At 38.3% G+C, this 25,596-nt stretch overlaps 1 protein-coding gene across 33 annotated transcripts in view; it reads right to left on the bottom strand.

The window, feature by feature from the left end:
* The window catches only part of DICER1 (dicer 1, ribonuclease III), a 71,783-nt gene that overhangs the window by 14,404 nt on the left and 31,783 nt on the right, over nucleotides 1-25,596 (bottom strand). For 25 of the 33 annotated variants that reach the window (NR_172720.1, NR_172717.1, NM_001291628.2 and 22 more), the window contains 14 exons: nucleotides 23,565-24,037; nucleotides 16,991-17,123; nucleotides 15,822-16,064; nucleotides 15,036-15,190; nucleotides 12,461-12,593; nucleotides 11,541-11,616; nucleotides 10,686-10,825; nucleotides 7,693-7,872; nucleotides 7,249-7,462; nucleotides 6,977-7,130; nucleotides 5,410-5,592; nucleotides 5,047-5,152; nucleotides 4,440-4,615; nucleotides 2,715-3,495 (listed from right to left, as the gene is read on the bottom strand). Coding sequence is in view for 27 of the 33 variants with exons in the window: in NM_001291628.2 (NP_001278557.1) it covers nucleotides 2,715-3,495; nucleotides 4,440-4,615; nucleotides 5,047-5,152; nucleotides 5,410-5,592; nucleotides 6,977-7,130; nucleotides 7,249-7,462; nucleotides 7,693-7,872; nucleotides 10,686-10,825; nucleotides 11,541-11,616; nucleotides 12,461-12,593; nucleotides 15,036-15,190; nucleotides 15,822-16,064; nucleotides 16,991-17,123; nucleotides 23,565-24,037 (3,147 nt within the window). In the remaining 6 variants the exon portion in view is untranslated. Of the gene's footprint in view, nucleotides 1-2,714; nucleotides 3,496-4,439; nucleotides 4,616-5,046; nucleotides 5,593-6,976; nucleotides 7,131-7,248; nucleotides 7,463-7,692; nucleotides 7,873-9,230; nucleotides 10,826-11,540; nucleotides 11,617-12,460; nucleotides 12,594-15,035; nucleotides 15,191-15,821; nucleotides 16,065-16,990; nucleotides 17,124-17,231; nucleotides 17,436-18,355; nucleotides 24,038-25,596 lie in introns of those variants that run through there. The other 8 variants (NR_172719.1, NR_172718.1, NR_172715.1 and 5 more) reach the window with 7 other exon arrangements.

The following is a 25,596-nucleotide window of genomic DNA, read 5'->3' on the forward strand; positions in this document are numbered from 1 at the left end:
AATTTCTCACATCATTGCATTTCTGTCAAGTTAGTACTTGGAAACTAGGGTCTAGAATTGTCAATCCCATTTTCATTTTCATAAAGCTCGGTTCCTTATTATTAAGTACTTCATTAGCCCTCTTCCCATGTAACTCAACTATTGTTTAATAGACACCCCCCATATGAGAGGCACTCGATTGGGCAACCCTGAGGGAACGATGGCAGCAGGACAGAGGGGCAGTCCTCGTGACACACAGGCTAGCAGGGAAAAGGAGGGTACGTGTGACCACTATAGCCAAAAGTACTCTCCCTCTCTGCCTGAAACGTAGCAGGCTGAAATAAATGCTAGCTTCCCTTTCCAAGCTAAGAGAACAAAGCATCACAAGCGCCAAGAAGAGGATAAAGTACAACGTGGACTCATGGGAGGGAAATCACATTCCAAGTTGACAGAAATGGTGGGCAGGATGAAGAAAGAGCTACGTAAGGTCTCAAATATGGGGCAAAATTCTGGACAGGTAGAGATGGAGGCAAGCCCTCTGCAGAAGGAAGGACAGAGCAAGGGCCCCAAGGCTGGGGGTCTGAGCGTGGAGTCTGTCCAATGAGCTGCAAGGGGCTTCCACCTGCTTAGGATCCAAAACGCATCAGGGCTGAAAGGGCCTGAACAGCAGGCTGAGGGAGTGATCATTCTTTCTGCAGAAATAAGGAGTAGAAGGTTTCTGAGCAGACAAATGGACGAGTTTTGTAATAGAAAGTCACCTCTGTCTTGTCTAACAGAGTATCCTATCCTATTGCCTATGCCACACTTGTCCAAGCCTCTGATACTTTCTTCCTGCAACCACCTCTTGGAAATCTCATCCATTCTCAGAGCTTCCGTATGGCGACTACTCTACAAAACCGTATCTGAATCCTACAGCCTCAATTATCTGAACATTTCCACTTCATATTCCATGAGGTCTAAAATCTCAACTCTAACATGGACTTCCCACATTTCTCCCTACCTCCCTGCTACTGCCACTGCCCCCAAGTTGCCAGTTTACGTGGTTGTTATGACTGCGCCTCCAGTCCACCTCAAGATCATCCTGGGAGGCCTTGGACACACTCCTGACTCTCCCAGATGAACAGTTAGGTGACCTGACAGGAGCCCATTCGACTCTCTAAGTGTGAGTCCCCTCATCTGCAAAACAGGGATGTGTTGTCTCTTTCCCAGAGGCTTAGAGAAGAGTGAATGAGTGAGCACTTGGGAAATGCTTGGTGTGCTGCCTGGTGTGATGGTTCTATCCGGAGCAGTTAGTGTGATGGGGAAGGGGAAGGTCTCCAAAGCCAGGCTGTCTGGATTCGACCCAAGCTCTGCCACTTACTTGCCAAGTGACCTTGGGCAAGCTAACTTCTCCAGCCTATTCTCACCTATAAAATGGGGAAAATAAAAGTTTCTACCTCTCAGAATTATAAAAATTAAATTAGGTTTATATGCATATATGTGTATATATGTGGGTGTGTGTACGTGTGTGTGCGTATACGGTTATCTTTTAGAGTAGTGCAGAGTAAGCACTTTTAAATTGTTAGCTAAAATTATTTCTTCTGAAATTCTCACTCACCTCAGCCCCTTCCTCTCTACCAGAACTCTAGTTCTATCCCATTCTCTGCTTCTGCTGTTGGTTTGGATATGCTTTTCAACTCACACTACATTCTGCTACCAGATTAATCATTTTAAACTACCACTTTATTAACATTAATAGTTCCTTGCTCTAAATTCCTTCAACAGTGCCTACAACATTCAAAACACGTGCAAACTCCTTAGCCCAGCATTCAAGGCCTTCCACGATACAGCTTCACCCCAGCTGCCTTTTCAAGCCTTTTCTCAGGTATTTCCACACTTCTGACTGCTGCCACGGCTGCTTCCCTGACGCTGACATGCTCTGCCATCTGTTCACTTTGCTTATGCACTGTCAACTTGCCTCCTCCATTAATGCCATCCTTGATTCAACAGTGATGCTCCTTCCTTCTGAGTGCTGCAAGTGATCAGCAGCTTTCTAAGGTATTTGTCCAGGAGGCTCATGTTGCCTTGTGAGACTTTTTTCCATTTTTCCCCCATAACTTGAATATCTTACCTTCATTCCTTTTCTTAAGTCTTAGTCCATGCTGAGTTTAAGAGCCCGCCCTTTCTCTGAGCTATCGAGCGTTAATTACTCAGAACTCTGGTGTCACCCTCTTCACACTGGAGAGCAGCCAAGCTCTGTGAAGCTTGTTACTCTTCTCCGCTCCACTCTCCAAAACTTTGGAGATGAGCTCCTCCACAAGACTTGTGTCTTACTCATGTCTGTATGCCTTGTAAGCCAAGACGTACCCTCTCAAATAAATGTTTAACTCAACAAAGCAGAAGCTCCTTGACTGACTACAATGCACATTTCTTCATATCCCCCTCAGGATCAAGGGGTGTACACACTTGCATAGCTTCCTTTGAACTGACTTTCAATCAAAAAGTAAGGCACGTGGAGATCAGCTAAGCCCCAAAACCTGAGTGTGGGATTGGTGTAAAGCAATACTCATCAACTGCCAGGTAGTTCTGCCACAGGCTTTCGCTGGCCCTGGTAGAACAAGGGAGCAGCTGTGCTTGGCCGGTGTAGCAATTTCTGAGCATGATACGTTCTCATCCTCTGAGATTATCCAACACTGCAAACCACTTTCAGGCACACTGAATAATTAACTGCTCAAAATAAAAAAATCATCTCTTACCTTTTTGCTTCTCATATATGAAAGGCGGCCCTCATGCGCATCAGGGTAAGTGCAAAATAGATATGTGGTGATGGCATGCTTTAAAAAGGAGTCGCCAAGCATTTCAAGCCGCTCCAGGTTAAATCCATCACTAGCGTTTGACAGAGTCAAAGCCTGAAGAATAAGTCCAGGATTGGGGCCAAGAGTCCTTGAGGAGTACCCAATAGAAGGGCTCTGCTCAGAATCCATCCTGCCCTTGAGCACTTGAATAGTGTCTGTCGTACCAGGCATTACGGCCATCACAGGACTTCCATCTGAGGTAGATTTGTTAGCATTTCCATCAAGGTATTTATTACTCAGGAGAGTACATTCATCGCTGGGCTGGGGCTGGTTCTCGTAACTGTATAAATTCTGAATGGAATATGAGGTAGTTGGTTGCACGGGTATTTCCTGCTTGTAGTAATTTAGCTGATTTCCTTGGCAAAAGTCTCTGTTAGCTAAATCATAACTGCCATTGGCGAGATTTTGATTGTAAGAAAGACCATTAATTGCTGTAAGATCTGCTGAAACTTCAACGTGGAGCTTACCAGGGGACTCGCTGAGCAACGTTCTGCAGTTCACAGACATTTGGTCATGATTTTCTAGAGAGGAGGTTCTATTAGCACCTTGATGTGCAGCATTTTCAGGGACAATTGTGCTGTGCTTACAGTAATTATCATTTTCAGCTGAAGAGGAGTTAGAAATTGAGATGAAAGATTTGCTGTCAATAGATTTTTTCCACCCGAAGTCTAAGTTAGGGTATCTGCAAAGACATTTTTATAACTTTACATCAGATTCTTCAAAACAGCTAGGCTGAGAGCAACAGCAATTTGAATTTAAAAACAAAAACAAAGATCCCAAAAATGTACTCCTAAACTTTAGAATAGAAGCAAGTTTCCAAATTTTTAATTTACAGTGTAAATTATAAAGTGGGACATGGTTTTATCTACTGCTTTAATCCCTGGCCCTAGACTCTAGGTGTGGTAGTTAAGAAGGTCACGAAGCTTGCAGGCATCCTGCAGGACCTGGGGCCTAGCTTCACGGGTTGGAATCCCAGGCACTCTGGTTAACCCGCTGAGTAACTCTGGGCAACTTACATAAACTCTCTGTGCCTCAGCTTCTGCACCTGAGAAAAGGGCTAACAATTCCTATCTCATAGCACTGTCTTAATGATTAAATGAGCTAACTAACACAGGGTACAGCATTTAAGCTAGTGTTTGGCACTATAGCAACTAACCAATAAATATTGTGGTTATTCCTATTATATTTTAAAATTCCTTCAATCCCTAGAACAGTCTTGATATTGCCAATTGGATAACCAGAACTAATGTGAGTGTTTAAGCCAACAGTTTCTTTAGAATGCAGAGATTTTACTAATGGGAAGAAAATAATGAAGACAAAGAACATGCTAAGGCTATTGCTTTTTAACATATATTTGGATTTTTAAAAGAAAAAACAGACTGAAAATGCTGATGCAGTAACAAAGAACAATTTCATTCTCACTCCAACTGTTATGGCTTAAGCAGTAATGGTTATTTCTGACCTCAGATTCTCATCTCCCTCTGAGACTTGACAAGACATAAGATATCCATTATTTTCTTTTTACTCTTTTAAGAATTATTTTATATACAATTTTAACTTAATTCTGTTCTTTTGCAAACAGGATCTCATGATCTGTGTTCTTTCTGGCTGACTGCACAGGCATACCTAAAATCCGCAGGAAGTGATCTGACTCCCACGCCAGCATCGCTGGCAGTCTGGGCTCTTAGCTCCTCTGCAGTCAAAAGGCAGTGAAGGCGATAAAGTATGCTGGGGAGACAAACAGCTTTTCTCCACAGTGATGCTGGAATTGGATGTATAGCACAGAGTTCTGGAACCAGTATCTTCAAGTAAGGGGAAAAATGGACAGATAAATACAAAGCGCACACACAAAAGAAAAAAAAAAAGACCAATTTCACTAATGGATAAAGAAAATCATAAATGCTAGTAAAACTTAATTTTAAAAAATATTTGTAAAAATAATCCTCTAAGGCCAAATGGGATTTATCAAAGGATTTATGAGAATGATTTTGTGATATATTAATGGGCCAAGTATAAAAACAAAACTCTCAATACTTACCAAAAAGAACATTCAAATAACATTCAACACATAATACTAATTAAAACAAAACAAAACAAAATTTGAGGATTAGGTAACTTCTAAAAAATTAACGAATCATGCATTTAACTTGGTAAGATAAAATTCAAACTTATCTTTAATAATCTTTAATACTCAAACAAATACTAAGTTATGCTAGTACAATTAACTCATTACCTGTTTATTCTGCAGACTTTCCCATTTGGCTTTCCTCTTCTCAGCACTGCTTAAAGGAAGCGCTTTCCCCTTCTGATTCAAATGTCGAGGTGTCAAAAGATTAAGTCTGTAAGAATTCCAAAACAATTTTATCAAACACACAAAAATGAGTACATATTCACAGTGGTTCTCCAAAAACCACCTGAAGAGCTCATTTCAACTACAGCCTCTTGGGCTACCCCTTGGGCAAGTTTGTGTGCAAAGCATCTCCTGATTTCAGATAGTCCACGGGTGGGCAGGGGGACAGTGAACCTCTGCATGTCTAGTGATGTCTGGTAAGAATCCCTCAAGTGCAATCCAAGTGTCATCTCTGAAGCCCCTTACCTTGAAGATGTGTGGTCCACATCCAGCAGTGGCTGGTTGAGATTGGTTAGGTCAAGGTTGTACTTTGTTTTATAATATTCTGCAAAAGTTTCATACTCAGGGGAAGGAAATTTACTGAGTGGGGTAAGATCAGTGTACACATCAGCTACATAAAATCGATGAGGCTGATCAAAATTGCGATATCTAAAAAAGAAAAACAAAAAAACAATCAGTTGCTTTTTGATTTAAATCAACTATTCTCAAAATACAACTGTTTGTAGTATGGAAATGATGATTAAGAATTCAAAAGATTAAAAATAAGTAACAATAAACATCTGTATTCCAAATATATTTCAAGTATGTAAGAACTGTATTTTTATCAAGTAAAAATGGACACATTATTGTCCCATTTTATTATTATTCTTGTTCTAAATATCTACATTTTGATAACACATGAAGCTAAATGGCACCTTTACATATCTATTTCATCTATATAAATAGTATAAAAAATTTACACTATCCAAAGAGTAAATACTTTGTATATTACTAATGCTAAACATTAAAGACACTTGTCATATAAAACGTATTACTGCATCATCTATGATAGTGATGGTCCTGATAACTAACATTTAAAATATGGTTTTGAGGTGCAAAAAGAAAAAAAAAATCAAAGATTGAATTACAACTAGTATTATAATTATTTGAAAACTGCCTGTATTGTATTGCCCCAAAACTCCATTCCCTAAATTTTTATAAAATAAGGAAAAAAATCATTCTGGATTTACTATTTTCACAGAGCTTAATATTCCTTATAAAAATTTTAAGAAATGAAATCATTATTTATAATCAAATTCTATAAGACTCTGGAGACTAAAAGGATGGAGATTTTAAGAAGAAAGCCTATCAACATTAGATTATCTGACCCTTTACAAAGGAAAATTCCTTATCTATAACGTTTTAGGTATTATTTTTTAAGCAAGTATACTGGAGAGAACGGGTCGACCTTAAGAGTTTCTTTCTTTTCCCCGATCTGTTGCCCAGGCTGGAGTGTAGTGGTGTGATCACAGCTTACTGCACAGCCTAGAAATCCTGGGCTGAAGCAATCTTCCCACCTCAGCCCTGAGTAGCTGTGATTACAGCACGCATCACCATGCCTGACTGACTAATATATTTCCTATTAGTAATTACAATGCTAAAATCACAGCCCACTTATATTCCCATGTGAATAAGTGAATTTTTTTTTTTTTTTTGAGACAGAGTCTTGGTGTGTCTCCAGGCTGGAGTGCAGTGGAGCGATCTCAGCTCACTGCAATCTCCGCCTCCTAGCTTGAAGTGATTGCCCTGCCTCAGCCTCCCGAGTAACTGGGACTACAGGCGTGCACCACCACGCCTGGCTAATTTTTTGTATTTTTAGTAGAGACGAGGTTTCACCATGCTGGCCAGGATGGTCTCAATCTCCTGACCTCATGATCTGCCCGCCTTGGCCTCCCAAAGTGCTGGGACTGCAGGCGTGAGCCACCGTGCCCGACCTAGTGCATCTTTTAAAACAAAGTATCACCACCATTTTCCTTTCCATTTAAATACCTACCTTGGAATGATAACGGCATCTTGGTAATCTTCTAATTTAAAAACAAAGGGTGTTTCTTTTGTATACTTTGTACTGGGAATGCCTATGCGAGCTTCAGACTTCTCAATATCTTCCATGAATTTAAAGTCAATATCCAAAGTGCTGGAGTCATTAACTTAGAAGAGAAAAACGACTCTTTAGCTTGTTAAAACATGATACAGATAAGTTTCATACCAAAGCTGTATGTTTGTATATGTGTCTAGAGTTATCAAAGTAAGAGATTTTTTTCTTACCAACATTAAGAGGTAGAACACAGTATGCTGAATCAGCGTCTGTAGGTTTAAATTCTAGTGCAGGTTTTTCAAGCCGAAGAATATGTGAGAATATATACTGGTGAAGTCTTGTAATCAACTCAAGCATTTGTAGAGACAACATGAAACCAGACTTCTTCAACTCAATGGATATGGTAACCTCTCCAGAGCGTGTGTACACAGGAAAGTGTGGAATCTTAGCAAAAGGAAATGTAAAGCACCCCTCAAAATTAACAGGTATTTTATTCCATTACAGTTAACTTCAGAACAGAAATGATGCTTTCTAGTGGAGAAATAGAAGAGGCACCTCGATCTTTAAATATTAAACATACTGAGGTAACAAAAGGTACTTACTACTAGTTTTTTTTTTTTTCCTTTTCCTAAGCAAGACGTTTTTGACATAAGTACTCATTATGAAATACCTACCTGAGGTATGGGTTTGGCCGTCAGTATTCCAAAGCATCTTGTGGTATCTTCAGGAGGATAGAGCTTCCGCCTTCTAAAGTTGAGTTCATCAGGTAAAGGTGTAGTTAAAACCATTCCTATCACATACAGGTAACAGGGCTGATCAGGTCTGGGATAACTATCCCTCAAACACTCTGGAATCTAGAGTTGGAAAGGAAAATTAAGCGTCATGCTCAAGCATATTAGCCTCTTTTCCAGATGTCAGCAAGAAAACAAATTAATTCTGGCTTTACTAAAAGCTGATGAGAATAAGCTAAGAAAATACCCGAGGCATGACACTTCTTAATTACTTAACCCTGCTGGGTAAGTCAGCGGATCTCAGGACAGGGCTGCTGACGGTGGCCCAAGTTCACATACATTATAATGCAGTGCTGACTACATAGCTAATACCAAAATTATACATAAAACAATCCAACACTGTAGGGCCTTTTTAAAAATACTATTCATTTGATCTATTTCTTCTGACAAGAAAACTCATCTCTTCCTTGGGCTTTTTATGTATTAACTGTAGAGTATCAGAAAATGAAGTTAGGCAAATTTTTAAAAAATCACATATAATCCTATCACTCAAAGACAGCCTTTATTAACATTTTGATACACTGTATAATTCCTAGACTCTTTTTCTATGCATAAATACATAGAAACATATATACATTTATATTTTTCAATACAAATAAAATCACACAACACTGGTGTATATTAGGGTATGTGTGTATCTGTGTTTGTGAGATAGCCTGATTTTTATCCCGTTACTGTAAAGAGAATATCTGTCCGAGTCAATATGAGCCAATATCATCATTTGTAATGGCTACCTCATTATGTGAGTGAACCATAATTAAATGGACATTGCTGCTAGGCTTTCAATATTAACACAATCCTTCAGATTATGGTCTTGCAGTTCCTGAGGTTCAATGAAAAAGAACTGCATCTGTAGTTAAAAGGTACAAAAATGCTGGTAAAAGAGACAGTTATATTTAATAGAGAATCAGAAAATAAAGAATGTATCTATTAATTAAACAGGATGCCAGGCAGTACTATGCTTTTCTTTTTTTGTAGAGACAAGGTCTCACTATGTTGACCAGGCTGGTCTCGGATTCCTGGCCTCAAGTGATCCTCCTGCCTCAGCCTCCTAAAATGCTGGGATCACAGGTGTGAACCACCACACCCAGCCAATACTATGCTTTTAGAAACACTTATCATTAACGACTTTATCACATGAAACTAGTCTCACGTGAAAATTTGGTATGAGGAAAACATGCATTTTGGGAAAATGGGTAACATTCATGATTTTTTAAAAACATGATTCTGAATCTTGAAAATGCTAAGCTGGGTGCAAAATTTTATAAAGTAAAAACTTGGTAAAACTGCATAAGCAAAACCAAAGAAACACATATTTAGGCTAACATACAGGCACAGCAGTCCCCGCTTATCTGCAGCCTCCATGGTTTCAGTAACCTGAGGTCAGTCACGGTCCAATAACAGGTGTGTACAGTACAGTATTTTGAGAGAGACCACATTCACATAACTTTTATTACAGTATATGGTTACAATTGTTCTATTTTGTTATTACTGTGCCTAATTTATATCTTAAACTATCATAAATATGTACAAACGTATTTTAAAAAGCATAATATATGCTGTAAGTCCTCACTTAATGTCTTCGGCAGGTTCTTAGAAACTGGCTAAGGGAAACAACCAATTGGTAGAAAGAAACCAATTTTCCCACAGGCTAATTGACATAAATCAGTTAAATTCCTCCAGCACATTTCTGATCACAAAAACATCACCAAATTTCTAAATTAAAAAAAAACACTTTTAATATTAAGCATTAAAATAAATGTGAGCTATAGATACACTTAAGAAAGATGAATAAAAACAAGGAAGATGATTATTCACCCACTTATTCCAGTTCAGGGCCAAGGGTGCCAGAGTCTATCCTGGCAGCTCAGGGCCCCATGCAGGAACCCATCCCGGACAGGACACCACTCTGTGGCAGGGCACACGCACATGCATCCCCATGCTCACTCACAGTGGGGCAGTGCAGACACGCCAGTTCACCTGATGTGCACAGTTTTGGGATGTAGTAGGAAACCGGAGTAAGCAGACATGAGGAGAATGTGCCAACCCCACATAGAGACAGTGGCCCTGGCTGGGAACGATTTTTTTTTTCCTTGTCAACGTTCTAATGAAACAACGTTGAGCTGCTGGAGGATCGGTACTATCTGCAGTTTCCACTGTGGGTCTTGGAACATACCCTCCAAGGGTAAGCGGGACTACTACACACAGCAAAATTCTGCTTTTGCTTGGGGTTCTTATGAGGTAAAAATATTAACAAATATTTTAAAAATAAATACTTCAGCCAAGTTTGTCTATTACTAGAAGTTAGATTTAGAGATGCTTTCATGTGTGAACTCTGCTAGGATGCCCACAGATTGAGCTGGAAACACTCCATGGAAATAACTTATTTCGATTCCCAATGGCCCACACTGGGAATCTGACATAACTCCTGACAGATATTTGTGCTTCTACCTTCCAGTGTACCTGTCATCTTGAGAGGGCATCTTTTCACTTGCTTATTTTATCACACAAATCCTCTTCTGTCTTAGCCCCAAATCATAAGTAAAACAAGAATCACACCACTAAACTGAATGAAACAAAGAATGTCTATTTAAATGAAATAATCTCATTCTGGATAGAATATGACAGATGGGTCCAAGAATCCTTTTGAGAAGAAAAACAAAAGCAACCTCTGAAGTGGAAGAGCACACATTCTACATTAGGAAGGAAAGAGGCTGATCTGAGAGAAGCTGTGAATCGGAGAAAGGAGCTGAGATCCAGAGTGGGCCAAACTGTAAGGGTGTGGGAAGCCAGCCAAGCAGAGGAACTGAGATTTGATGTAGCGGAAAACAAAGTCAGAAATGCTAGGTTTTTACTCTGTTCTAACCAATACTAACTGCTTTTGGGTAGCACTGCCTTCGTTTCGTGGAACCTGGTCTTCCTGGAACACTGGTCTCTTCTTCATCATGCAAATCAAGCTCCTCTTCATATTTAACAGTCTCTTTCCCAACTGGCATCAAATGGTCATCCAGTTCGCCTAACAAATTTAAAGAGAGAATTAACACAATCCAGATTTTGCCTGATTAATTAGTAAAGAATTTAGAACAGAACTATGTTAGAAGGACCTGGAAAAGTAATGGAAACTAAAGCACCTTTGCCTTTTACAATTTAAAAGTAATCAGATTCACACTTCAGGCAAAGTCTATTTTGGCATCCATATATTCCAATATGAGCTGGACTGCAAATTCTGTTCTAAGGTTCAGAAACAAAAACATCTAAACATGACATCACCACATATCAATGCTAAATAAAATGGCCATAGAAAATGGGTCCACTTATACAGGAGCAGGATTGAGAAAAAAAAAAAAAAGAAACTGAGTTCATTTTTTAAAAAAGGATTAATTTCTATACTAGTATAGACTAATTTGAGAGACTGACATATTAAAACACAAGTGTTCATGGTGCATGATTCAACAATTACGAAAAGACCTTTATGTACTTAAAAGGAGTCATTAAAGAGAGCAAATAAATGACAGTTGTTTGCAGTCAAGCTATGGAAAACAAAGAGCTCCCACAACAATGTAGGATCTTCAAGTTACTAACACTTATGTTTATATTCACCAAAGCACATTAAGATCAGCAAGTGAATAGCTCTACAAAATCCTTACAGATCTATAAAGTCCTCTATATGCTTTTTTTTTACAATGGTTGCAATTTATTTTCATTCGTATATGCTTTTCAAACATCCTTACCAATTTTGTGCAGTTTCTCACAGCAAATGAGAGCTACAACTCTTTCAGCCAATCGTACACAGCTCATTGGTGGACCCTGAAAATAACAAAAACCTTTCCATTATATATGCACATCGCTGTATTACCTCTAGCACATGAAACACCTATGAAACCACTGCCCCAACATTTTTAAAGTTCAATTTACCAAAACAAAATTCTTTATTTTGAAAAATTCCAGCAAGTTTTTAAAAATTCTAATCTCCATATTTGAAATATTCATCTTTAAAAGTCCTGCCTAGTAAAAACTAAGTCATAATTAAGATTTTACAATTTTGATGAATTTAAATTTCAGTAAGATTTTAAAGTATCTTATTTTTACTAATCAATAAATATGTAACAAAAAGAAAGATTTATCAAAACATAGCTATAACATTAACAGTATTGAGCAGCTTTTTATGTGCAATAGAAATTAGTCACCTTGGAACACTTGGAAATCAGTACTGAGACCAAGAACAGTATTTACAAAAAGCAGATTTTTGAGTCACCAACAAAATAACTAGGACAACGCAACGATCTATAATAAGTTTTATATTACTCTAAGTGTCTAAGCCACAGTTGAATGATTCTGTCAAAAATGTGCATGTTAGTAACACCTTAGAAGAAACTTCAGAGATCACCTAGTCCAGTTCTAAGTATCTGTAAATTAGACAGTCTATTACAAATATGAACATGTAGATGACTACAAAAGCAATCTATAAATCTACTTTTGAAAGTAAATTTGGTTTTTATTTTTATTTTTGGTCTGTCAACACAAGGCTCCTGCTCATGAAAGTAGATTTTAAAATCAAATTTACCTATAACTTGCAAGTCTTAGAAAAGCTGAAAAAATCCACTAATGACACATTTTAAAAGATAACAATCATTTCTTCTTCTAAACTTACAACAATGGAGGCTCGAAGAGGTGAGTTAATTGGCAGATAAAGAGTTGAATAAAATGTACCATCAGGCAACTCTCGGGTTCTGCATTTAGGAGCTAGATGAGTAAACGGATCACTTGGTAATCTAGCACAGTATCTGTGAAGAAAAAGAAATTCTGAGGCTGAATCTACAACTGAGAAAATATTGATATTTATAACCTCGAGTTTGATTTGTCATGTGCCTCTTCCCCTCTACTGAATTTGTATTTATATGTGGCATTTAAACTTTACTGCTTCAAACTTCGAATAAGACAGAATAGTGTTGTCTAACAGAACTTCTGCAAAGATGTTCTATATCTTCGATGCCCAACAGGGCAGTGGCTGGTGAGCACTTGAAATGTGAGAAGTACAACTACGAAACTCCATTTTTTATTTTATTTTAAATTGAATTTTGAATTTAAATAGTAACATGTGTCGAGTGTTACCATAATAGAGCACAAAGTATTGTTCAGAATCCAGTAAGAAAACATACTGCCAATGTTTTTTCCTTAATCATCTTACATTTCCCACCAACTACCAGCACACATATAAGGAAGGCATCAGCAGAGGGCGGGACAGCCCAGTGCTGACACAAAAAGGACAGTAGAACTAGCAACTCACTGAGCAACAGCACCAGGGAAGGTTGGAACAGGGCAGAAAGCTAGCCCAGAAAGGGATGCTGGGACAGGACCCACATCAGGAGGGTGCTGGAATGGGCAGCAGCCCTGTGAGGTTGCGACCTGTGCAGCAAGGGCACCTGACCACAGTTGCAGCCCTACAGAGCAGGGAGACTGGCTACATACAGGAAGACTGAACACTAATTATTTTGAGGACAATGGGAGCCAAATTTCTGATTATTAGAGAAAGGAGGTACAAAGACAGAAAGGAGGAAATCTAGAATGAAACCTCTAGTGTCACACTGAAAATAGAGATATCAACAGATAGACACTGAAACAAATACAGATGTAAACATGAACAAACAAACATTCTAGCTCTGTCCACTAAAACGCCTGGCAGCAGCAACACACCGGTAGCAATGAATAAACCTAGTATCCAGTTCTTGGTTTCTAACTACAACTTTTTCTCCACTAAATTCGAGGAAATTGCCAACATCAAGGCTGGGGCAGTCTAGAATGTCTTGCGCCATAAAACAAGGAAGTATTCAAGGAATAATAGTGAGATGTTAAAAAGACAAAGAAACCAGCTTTAAGGGGTTCCCACTGGCCAAATATGAAACAATTTTAACATCAAAACAAACAGTAAATGATAATGATAGATTATAACCCATTAAATAAAACAGGAGTCCATAAGTTCACACTGACATTAAAAAATGATAATATAAGAATGAATAAACGGAGAGAAGAAATGGATGGTAGAATGCCAACTAATAAATACAGAAATAATGGAGTTAGAAAATCATTTAGTAGCCATCATAGTAATAATCAATTTGGGCCAGAAATATCAAAGAATGCTTACACTAATGAGTCAAACTGGGAAAAGGAACAAATTTTATACCGTCTCAAAGTATCTCCCCATGAAATATCTACTAATTATAAAAGGGGTGAAAGGGAACTTTACAGTAGAGAAAACTGGCAGACTTCACTCAAGTGATCTAAGTTACCACCGGTAAGGGCACAAATCAACATGGTGTGCGACTTGGTAAGCTAGGATGAGGAGAGGACACCATCGTCTCAGTGATGTGCTGCCCAAAAATTTGTAACCTGGGTCTCATCATAAGAAAATAGCAGACAAACCCAGACTGACAGTAAGACTACAAAATGACAGCCTATCTATCTTCCAAAGTTTCAAGGTCATTAAAGTCAAGGAGAGACTAAAGAATGGTTCCAGATTGAAGGAGACTAGGAAGATGTGACAACAGGAGTTGAGGACAACTCCTGACTCTAAGGTAGATACTTTGGCTACAAAGAACATTCTCATGAAACTGAATGAGTCTCTCTTGGTGTCTGGGTGAAAGGCATATGCGGAATTCTAGTATTCTTACAACACTTTAAAGTTTGAAATTGTTTCAAAATAAAAGGTTACAAAGAAAATCTTATACTTGCTCTTTTGTCTCTGAATAGAAATTATCCTGGTATATAATCCAGGAATGCATTTGCTGTTCTTAGCTCTTAGAAATTTTATTATCAGCTCTGGACAAAGTAAATTACAATGTACCCAAAAACATAAATTAGTTTATCACAATCTTACTTTATTGCTAGGGGAAAATTCAACATTACCCAATGGTTATGGCACAAAACAAAAAATTTCAGGATTTAGAAAAAAATTGGTGAGAATTATAAAATTAAATTAAACCTAATTTAAAATGCCTTCATTATGTTAGCCTTGCCAAGGAATACTGAACTTTTATTGCTGCACGATACTGTTTTTGCCTTTTGATTTAAAAAAAAATGAAAAAAGAAGTAACTTTTCTTTATCGAAAATATGGCAAGTCTAAGTAAAGACTGGTAACCGCAAAATGTCAACAATACAAAATGTACAGGTTTAGACTTAAACTGTGCAACATTCCCAGGTTTTCCACACAAATGATATGATGCCATACCTATTGATGTGTCCAATGGCCGTGTTGATTGTGACTCGTGGACCACCATCGTCAGGCCTCAACACATATGGTGGGAAAACGTCATCATCATCCATGACAGGATCAATGTCAGTCTCACCAGTATCAACCGACTTGGAACACTTGTTTCTCAAGATCTGAACATTTAAAAAACAGAACTTATGATGAAAACACATCCTCTCTGCTGTATGCTGTCTGCCTCTGTACCTACAGAAAAAACTCTCCTGAAAATATCTCTCTCTCTCCTAAACATACTTCAGTACTCCAAAGTAACCTGCTGCAGACACCTTCTTCCAATGAATCCCTCCCAGTTCCAATCGTATGGAGACCCTTACCATATGGTACAAAGTCTATACTGTACCGTGCCTACACAGACACACACACACACACACACACACACACACACGACTGTTAGTCTTTCTGAATGTAACTACCATGTCATCATTTTCCAATCACTCAATAACTTAAGCAGTCAACAGTTACTGTCCATATTTGCAATGCAATTTCCCAGACGTTCATCCCAAATAACATATGTGATGATCATTTTCACTGTTATCTTATTGTGCCCTTTCAAACACTTTGTATAACACTGCCGGGTCTTTGTGATCATTCTCAACTTCCTTACAATGTACACAGAGTACACCTCTTTTGAGATTATTGCCTGTAGATAAAACTCATTATCTGTTCCTATGGATACAAAGAATAACAAAGAAGCCACATTAATTTTTTTTCCCAATCTGCCGGCACATGTTAATATGTTGATCTTACCTTTTCAATAGCTTTGTAGGTTTTAAGGTCTTCTTCAAAACTTTTTATTTTGTCTGTATCCGCTAACATTATATAATTAGAGATGGGTGCCCTTGCTCTTCCTTTAGATTGAACATAGGATCGATATTCTGTGGGCAAATCAAAACGAACCACCAAGTTGCATTTTGGTATATCAACACCCTCTTCTACAATACTTGTTGCAATAAGCAGGTTGGTCTCATGTGCTCGAAATTTCCTAAGTACCTGAAAAAAAAAATCCACCAAGAAAAGCACTTCTAAGAAAATTTCTAAAATGAACAAAAAAAATTAGTAAAAGTAAATGACAACTGTCATTTCTGACACACATGCTCTTGGGCATTCTAAATCCTTAAGGCCAGGCTAAAGAAGATGACAGTATCACAGAAAACTCAGCATGCATGGAAACATGGACAAAGAAACTGATTTAATGAGACTCTCCAATTCAGGATAAATTAAATGGTAACATAAGCTAGTGTTCAGACAGTTATATCTATCAGACTGGCTCCTGGACTCTCCAAATTTGGAAATTATCAAAAAGCTACAATGTAGAAAAGGCCTTCAACAGGAATTATTCTGCTAATTTTAAGTTAAATAATAAACTTTAAATAGGTTTTTGTGTACAAGCCAGACCATGGTATTAGTTTTTAGCATCTTTACAATGCTGTTTCCTGTATTAAGACCTTACAAGGCACAAAAATATTTAAGCTAAAATCTATAAAATATAGTGCTGTTTTTTTTTTTAAGAATTGAAACAAAATAGGCCTTTAAATGAAAAAAAGAAAACACTTTCTAGGAAAAGATTTCAGTTTGTTAATTCATAGTCATATGGAATGTACAAGAGTTAAGGTCATACATGCTTTGTCTTTCCATGAAATGCAGTTGTGTAACATCAATCCAATCACAGAAAATAAGTTGGTTGATGGCAATTAAGACACAAAATTGGTTTGCCAGATAGCTATTCTAATTCTGAGCATACAAATCACTCTACAGCTACCTCATGGGGACAGCTGGTCTAATATATGAAGAAGTATTCTATAATACAAAAAATAATAGTAATTCTGGGAAACTATGAAAAAAGGGAGACCCTATGGGCACTTTGTCTGTATATGTCCCGAAAACTGTTATTGTACACTTATTTTGATTTAAGTTACCTCTTCCTGTTTTCTGAATTCTGCTTCCATCTGTTTGTTGCGAGGCTGATTCTTCCCAATGCCATGTCCAGTTATGAAATTGCTACTGATATAAGCCAGCTCTGGATCTTGTTTGCCAGCTTCCTTTATCAATCTAAGAAAATTATACACATTTGGAAGTTAAACGTTGCTGAAAGAAAATAAACTTTTGTTTTTAAAGCCTCCTTTAAAATGGAAGTACATGCATTTTTTGCAAACATACCTAACAAAACGGTCTTGGTCCTTTTTTCCCAACTTGCTTAAACAGAAATCACTGTCACTCTTCACCACATAGATCTGTGGACCAAGTACTTATAACGCCAAATACAAGATTGGTTTGTACTGACAAATGAAATGGTCACGTTACCTCCAACAGCTGATTTGGCGACGGTGATTTAATAGAAATGTGGCCCAGGATGAGACTGAGCTAGTCAGAGAGAAACACGGATCCTCATAGATCTTGGCCTCGGGACAGGACGTCCAATGAAAAAAGCTCGACTCATCCCTCTACCAGTTCTACTAGCTCATCTCTCAACTCAACACCCTTCTCTAGACCATGCACAGCTTGAGCTGCAGGCCCTACTGTGCTTATACAGAAAGGACCAGTGAGCCCAACACCAAAGGAAACCTTCACCCCCAACAAATGTAACAAGAGTTCCAGCTGCGATTTCTTTTCCTCTTATCCTATCACCTGATATCATTAGAAGCAGAGCCCATGGGAAAGAAATGTTGTATCCTCTCAATCCCTGATGCTTTCTTGTCCCCAGGCCACTGACCAAAATTCTGCACAGCATAGTACAGGGCACAGAAATGGCAAGGCAACCCCACCCTTCCCTGTCATGAAAGAGGAGATTCCTGAGCTCTGTCTCTCTTCCTGCCTGCTCCTCTGTATTAACCCACAGTGCCTGTAACTGAAAGCTGGCCTTCTAGCTAAGAAATGGCAAAGAGCTACGGGACGGGATCACATTACACGGGTGCAGAAGGTTAACAGTTAGTGCTGCCATTACAGCTATTTTGGAAATATCCACATTCAAAAACTCAGCACACGGGATAAATGGTTCCACACCTGATATAAGCGATTCCACATGGTTTCTCTGAAGTCATATTACATAGTATAAATTCCAAATAGAAAATTGCATTTTTAAGTTGAATCATTCTTTTAAAAAAAAAAAAAATACATGAAACAGACTAATAATAAAGAGCTGGAAGTGGCCATCTAGAATCTCTCTTGATCCCAACCGGCACAACACTTGCGTGTCTAGGTTAGTTTGGGAGTCTACAAACTACAGCTTGTAGTTCAAGCTCTACAGTTCACGTACTTAAATATTCAGAATCAGAGCTCCCTTATTATGTTCCAAGATGTGTTTAATTATTTTAATAAATTTAAGATGTAACAGAAAGCAGTGTTACATGCAAACAAATAACATGTCCAAAAGTCTAAAATACAAAATAAATCACCTTAGAAATAATACATACTTCCAAATTTTATATAAATAAGCATCAATTTGAATATAATAGAGATTTAGAATGTGTTTTAACTTACTGTTAATTAGGCAAAGAATGTATTTTACTTTGCTAAAATTATAAATTATCCATCTGGCAGACTTCAATTAGCTAAGAAATAGAGGCAACAACAGTCAATTCATTTTTCCTTAATGAAACCCACATCAAAACCACAGAGAACAGAAGAGACAACAGGCACAATAAATAAAATCTCTTGTAAGCAATAATTACATGGGATATACCTATGCTAATAATGCTTAGAGAGAAAAATGTATTTATCTACTTGGTGAATCTTGGCCATGCCTAACCAGTACCCAGGACAAAGCTACAGGCTTCAGGGAAAACAAAGCCAGGCAGTCACATCATGTGAACTCCCAGAGGATAATGGACAGTGCAAACTGCTTAAAGAGTTTGTAACACCACAGAAAAAATAAGACAATGTATTATTTGTTTCTTTTGGTTTTTACACTCAGTTTATACAAGCTGTTCACCAGCAAGCTGTTCACCAGCAAAGTATACTGTTCCCTAATGCACAGTGTTTCTGAAACGATCTGCAGTGAAGAACCAGCTTTTCTTTTTAAATTTCCAATCCATCAGAGGCAGTTTTGTAGAATTTCATAAAAGTGAATGACTAAGAAAATGAAATTTAAAAAGTATTAAAATTCAAGCATCAATTTTATTGTATTCAGCAGATATAAAATTACTGTCAAACTGCTCTAAGAGTTTCTAAATGCTTCTTCTCAATCTTTGTACTTAACTCATGACATAGGTAAATTCTGGCACCAATTCATAGCCTATACTTTGTGTGTATATGTACATCTAATTCTCCCCAATTAGAATGAAAATAACATAACCAAAAATAGGAAATATGTATGGTAGGTTCAGAAAACTAATAGATGTATTACAAAAAATTGTGATCTGAATAAACATGCTAACTAATGCAGACAACCATAAGAGGAAAAGAAATTCAAAGATATAAACACATTATTTGAAATTCCTGCCAGGTTATTGAAATACATTATCAACAACTCCTTTAACAGTATCCCTTACTCCTTACATTTTCTTGTCAATGTGGAGAAAACCAGATATAATTCCTCTATGATTTCACTAAAAAAAGATCACTGACAGTTACATAATAGCATACGGATGTTGCACTCCCTAGATGGGTGCATAAGCGGCTGAAGAATTAGCATCTACTGTGTGCTGGTTGATAAAACTGCCATTTTTAATACAAAGTCTCTTACCAACAAGCCAGTAAGAGAGGGAGGTATTATTTCCATTTTACGAATGAACATACTGAAACTTTTAAAAGTTAAATAACTTTCACAAAATATACATCCACAAAGTGGGCAGAAAAGAAACCAAGTCTCCTCGGCAAAATGGCTGATTCTAGGGCCAGGCAGGGAGAAATACAAGAGCCCAGAGCACCCTGTGGTATCACAAAGAAAGTGCTCAAAAACAAAAGGATGAGGGTATGTCAAAGGGACACGGGTGCTAAACTCGAAGAGCTCCCAGTGGCCACCGCTGCAACAATTTGAGCAACAAATAAATAACACAGTATTGGATTATGGCCCAAAGTATAAAATAAACATGAAACCACCAACTGAAATACATGATTCAATTAATAAATATAAGTAGACAGTTACATAAAAAGGATAAACCAGACAAGTTTTCCTTACAGAAGAATTCCAAATACATATAGATATATCCCTCTCCAGCAAGTGGAGATTAATCCCTCCCTACCAGGGTGGGCTAGACTTGGAGACTTCCTTCCAAATAGAGTAAGAAAAGGGAAACAGTGTAACTTTACAGTAGAGAAAGCAGACAAACACTATCACAATCCATTGATGAAGATGAACATGACGAGTGACGTTTTGTGGTTGATACCATGAGAGCCCCCTGATATAATGTGACTAGAAGAGCAGGTCACCTCCATGGTATTCTTCCATATCCGATCACCCCAGTACAACCCCAAGAACATAAGAAAAACCCAAATGGAGGGGCATTCACCAAATACCTGACCTGTACTCCTGAAGACTGTCAAGGTCATCAAAAACAAGACGGAAACTGAAAAACTGTGACAGACCAGAGGAAACTGGGTAGATACTGACAACTAAATGTGATATGACACCTTGGATTAAAGACATTATCCCTTACTGTCTAGTGGTTAGAAAAAAATAAAAATAAATTTTTTGAAAAAGAGGACATTAGTAGAAAAGCTGTCAAAATCCAAATAAAGTCTGGAGTTAATAGTAATGGGCCAATGTTAGTTTTCTTAGTTGTGACAAACACTGACATGAGATAATATCAATGGGGGAAACTAAGTGAGGGGCATATGAGAACTCCGTACCATTTTTCCAACTTTTCTGTAAATCTCAAATTATTCCAAAATAAAAAGTTATTAGGAAAAAAAGGGGGAGGGGTAGAGACAGGATGTGAACCCAGGTTTGTCCAATGCCAGTATCACACAATACTAGTATATTACACGGTGAAAAGAACACTGGACTTGAGACTGGAAGCCATTTTCTGCCACTTGATATGTGTGTAATTTGGGGGAAGGTCACACACTGATGCTTGTTTTCTTCCTCTGTAATATGGAAAGAACATCTACTTTCCTCCCCTATGGAGTGTTGTGAATATGTCTTAAATATATATAACTTAGAAACCCCTATGTAAATATAAGGTACAAAGAAACCCATAAACATAAGACTGTGCACATACCTACACTACATATAGAAGTGGCTGTGATTTATTTTTTTTAATTAGGAGAGTAGAAAACTGCATGTATATTACAATAGCTTATATGCCCATGAAACTATTCACTATAGAAGGGTTTTTCCTCCCATTAAACTGATGGAAGGAAAGAATCTGAATTTCAGGAAGTTTTTCTAAGCTTATTAAAAAGCTTACTGGAACAAGACCTCTATTGTATATTTAATTAGCTGCTCATAAAGTCAACCCTCAGAGCACTCTTGATTCATCATACAGCACTAAATTCCAGTCACATTTTATGAAAGTTGATCACAATTCATCTGATCCTTAAAGTCAATAGGAAGTAACCGACTGATTCTGGATAAACCTTTTCAGGCTAATATTCCTGCAATAAAAACTGGCACATCTTTACCTAAAAATACATGCAGAAAACAGGAGGAAGGCGGAAAATACACCCCCATTTCTTCTCTCCAAGCCCCAGAAAATTTATTTAATCCTTATATAATCCTAAATGGAGACGGGGAGTATGTCCATAACTAGGCTTACAACTGCGCCAGCATTAAACTTTTTTGACTCCCAAAATGCTTTTTCCCTGCCCTAAGAAATAATCCCTCCTTAGTCACGCTCTCCCAGGTCCGTCTCCTGGCAATCTTCCTGCTGTAAAGCACTGGTTTTTAGTGTTCTGTGATGCCCAGGGGCATTACTATGATAGAAAGAACTGGAAACTAGGAGTCAGGATATTAGGATTCTAGAATTGTCTCTGCCATTGACTAGCAATTTAACTTACAGCAAATCACTCTCTCTCCTGAGGCTCTTTCTCATTTTTACAAAAATAAGTGGGTTGGATTAGATAGTCAGTGAGGTCCCCTTCCAATCTTCAACTTCTAATTTAAATGTAATTTGGTCCCTAAAGTTATTTTCCTTTGTATTCATCAGAAGGATCAGGCTCAATGACTATGAAAATTACCAGACTAAAAACTGCCAGATGATGACCCTCGAGTCCAATTTCTCGTTACTCAAAAAAGTTTTTAAAACCCCTAAACATTCAGAAGCAGTTAAGCGCGTGTGCGCGTGCGTGTACGCGCGCGCGCGCGCACACACACACAAAGAAAGAAAAAGAAAAAAAAAAATCCCAAATTACCTTAGGAAGCAAAGCTTAGTTTTTCCTAAGAGATCACTACTTGCAGAAAAGTTAGGGATCAACTGTGGCCAATTAATGGATCTCATAGAAAAGTAAATTGATTTAAGTACAAAATAAGGACCTTTTTTGGCAGAAAAAAATAAGAGTATCTATCTACAAACCAAAAGGACCATACATTAAGTGACCATCTGACAGAAATCTGAAGTATAGCTCCCTGGCTGGTTCTAAATTAGAAAAAAAATCTTTCATTGAAGGGAGAAAGAGTAGGAATCCACGGCCTAAAATTTGGATTCAATATCACCTTTGCTAATAGTCTTAGAACTTTCCCCAACATTCTTATTCTCTTCTGATTCACAAAATTTTAATATGCAGTCTATGAACCAACCCAAAATAAATTCAATTGTTCTAAACTTTTTGCACTGTGGCCTTGAAAACTTTATTTTTGGAGACAAAGTCTGGCTCTACTGCCCAGGCTGGAGTGCAGTGGTGCCATCTCAGCTCACTGCAACCTCTGCCTCCCAGGCTCAACTCATCTTCCCACCACAGCCTCCCAAGTAGCTGGGACTACAGGCATACACCACCACCGGCTAATTTTTGTATTTTTTCTAGAGACAGGGTTTCGTTGTGTTGCCCCTTGTGAACTCAAACAATCTACCTGCCTCTGGCTCCCAAAGTGCTGGAATTACAGGCACAACCCATCATGCCCAACCTAGCCTTGAAAAGTTGAATCCATATTTTTAAGAGAAAAAAATCAACATTAAAAAATTAGTCACAATACCCAGATAAAATTTCTCCTAAGACTACCTGAGGGGAACACTTGGTGTGAAATGCTTAACACAATGTCTAACACATAGTTAAGGATTAATAAATATCTGAATTGAATCTAAAATTGAATATAAAACAATGCTTTACTTAAATGTATACTGATTTTTTTAAAAACCATACTTGTCCTCCATTTTAGGTAGATTAGAATAGATTAGCATCCTTTAAGAAAAAAATATCAGCCATATGAAAAGCAGCCTTCTGGAAAACATCCTCTCTGTCAATCCCAGGACAGCATGACGTATCAGCAATGATGGCGCCAAGTCAAGGACACTTACATAACCCTCATGCTAGCTCTTACAGCTGCTGCAGCGCATCACATCACAACACAGGACGCCTCCCTGTTCTCATGTGAAAGGAGTCAACTTACAGATTTACCTGTTTAAGACAACTGCTGTGTATCTTCTTTCCACAAAAATAATTCCGCACAAAATGTTGGTAAAAGGAGAAGGAAAATTTGTCTCTGGCTTCTCTTTTTCTTCAATTTCTTCATCCTCATCATCATCCTCAGAATCACTCCATGACACATAATTATCCTGATTTCTATTATTATACCACTCAACGCTTTCAAACTGCTGTCGCTCATATGGTTTATATTTGCGTAAGATTTCGAGCAGTTTGATTACTTTAGGAGTTACAAATTTCAGGTCAAGTGAGGCAGGTGAGAAGTGCTCTTCACATAGTGCATGTATTTTCCTTAGGAAAGTGTCTGTAAACAATAAAAATTTCCTGTGCAGCTCCTCTTGCTCATGTTTGATGTATTTCTGTAGTTCTCTTACCATCATTCCAGCTACTTTATCTGCACACCAGGGTCCCAGAACTACCAATACGGCACGACAGTCTGATAGTATCTACAAAAAAAAGAAAAGAAAAAACCTAATGCCAAATAATAATAATGTAGCATTTTCATGTGGGGTTTAACTGGGATTTCAGTTGTTCTCAAATGGCTCCTTAAATGTAACCCAGCCTTAGGTTAAGTCCCTGAAGGTGGGGGGAGAGGCCATTAGCCTTTTCAAGCTCATTTCGTATGTATATGCCTAGAACCATCTCCTTTTTTCAATAAAATAATCAAACAGAAATTAAAAGATGCAATTGTATGAGGTTAATGAAGCTTATTTTTAGATCTGTAATTAGTTAAAACTATACCTGAGTCATTTACTTCCTGCCAAATTACATAAAATTTATGTAGCACAGTAATTTAACTTTAGGCATCAAGGAAGAGCAATACAGTTTTCCTTGAACTTTATGTACAATATTCTCCAGCATTATATGTTTTCCACTATACTGACTAGAAACTGTGGATGAATTTTGGTCGATCTACAGTCAGCACCTCTGGATGCCACGGTGAGACTGTTGTAAAAACACTGCACAGCTGTCTCTATCATCATTTCTTTTTTCTTTCTTTCTTTCTAAACAGTAGGAAAGGCCTTTATTGGTTGGAAGTGGAAAAGGAGCTAGGACAGCTGCACTGGGGCAGCCTCCACACACTCTGTCACAGTTCTCCAAAAGCCCCTGTTATCCGATTTCAATGAAAACACCACCACAAGGTCAGGGCTCCTCAACATTAACATCTCAGCTAAATTCAGACTCTGATCCTGGACCCTCCCAGAGTGCTGCATCTTACAACTCTAATTGAGAGCCGAAAGTCAATCCATGGCCAGGGTGTAACTGAGGAATTGAGGGAGAGGGAGAGAGGCAGAGAGGCAGAGAGGGAGAGAGGGAGAGGGAGAAGGTCGGGGGAGGGAGAGGGGAAAGGTGGGGGAAGGGGAGGAGGAGGGGAGAGGAAGAGAGGGAGAAGGGGAGAGGAGGAGGGGGAGGAGGGGGAGGAGGAGAGGAGGCAGAGATGGGGGGAGGAGGGAGGGGACAGGGAGGGGGAGGAGGGAGGGGAGAGGGAGGAGGAGGGGAGGAAGAGGGGGAGGGGAGGAAGACAGGGAGGGGAGGAGGGGGAGGGGAGGGGGAGGGAGGGGAGGTACAGAAAGAGGAGAGGAGAGAAAGAGAGAGAGAGAGGAAAAAAAGACAGGAAAGAAAAGAAAGAAAAGGAAAGAGGAAAGGAAAGGGAAGGGAAAAGGAAAGGAAGAAAGAATGCAAAGATTGAGAAAAATGTGGGCACTGCTGCTCGAGAAGAAAAAAATCATCAGGAGAGAAACTAAGACCCACATTTAATACAGTGTTAACATTCACAAATGGTTGCAAAGTTCTAGGGCAGTGGTTCTCGAGCTTTAATGAATCAGATTACTGGAGGGCTTATCGAAATTCAAAACTGAAGACTGCAAACAGTAAAATTCAGTCCTGAGGACCCCACCCAGATGCTGCTGATGATGATGTGGGGCCCACAATGGAAGGATCACTGTCCTAAGGGATCTCTTCTCAAAGCAGTACCACTGAGAGACAATAGGCTCATATCCAGTTA

The sequence above is a fragment of the Homo sapiens genome, chromosome 14, assembly GCF_000001405.40.
Source record: "Homo sapiens chromosome 14, GRCh38.p14 Primary Assembly".
Classification (NCBI taxonomy): domain Eukaryota; kingdom Metazoa; phylum Chordata; class Mammalia; order Primates; family Hominidae; genus Homo; species Homo sapiens.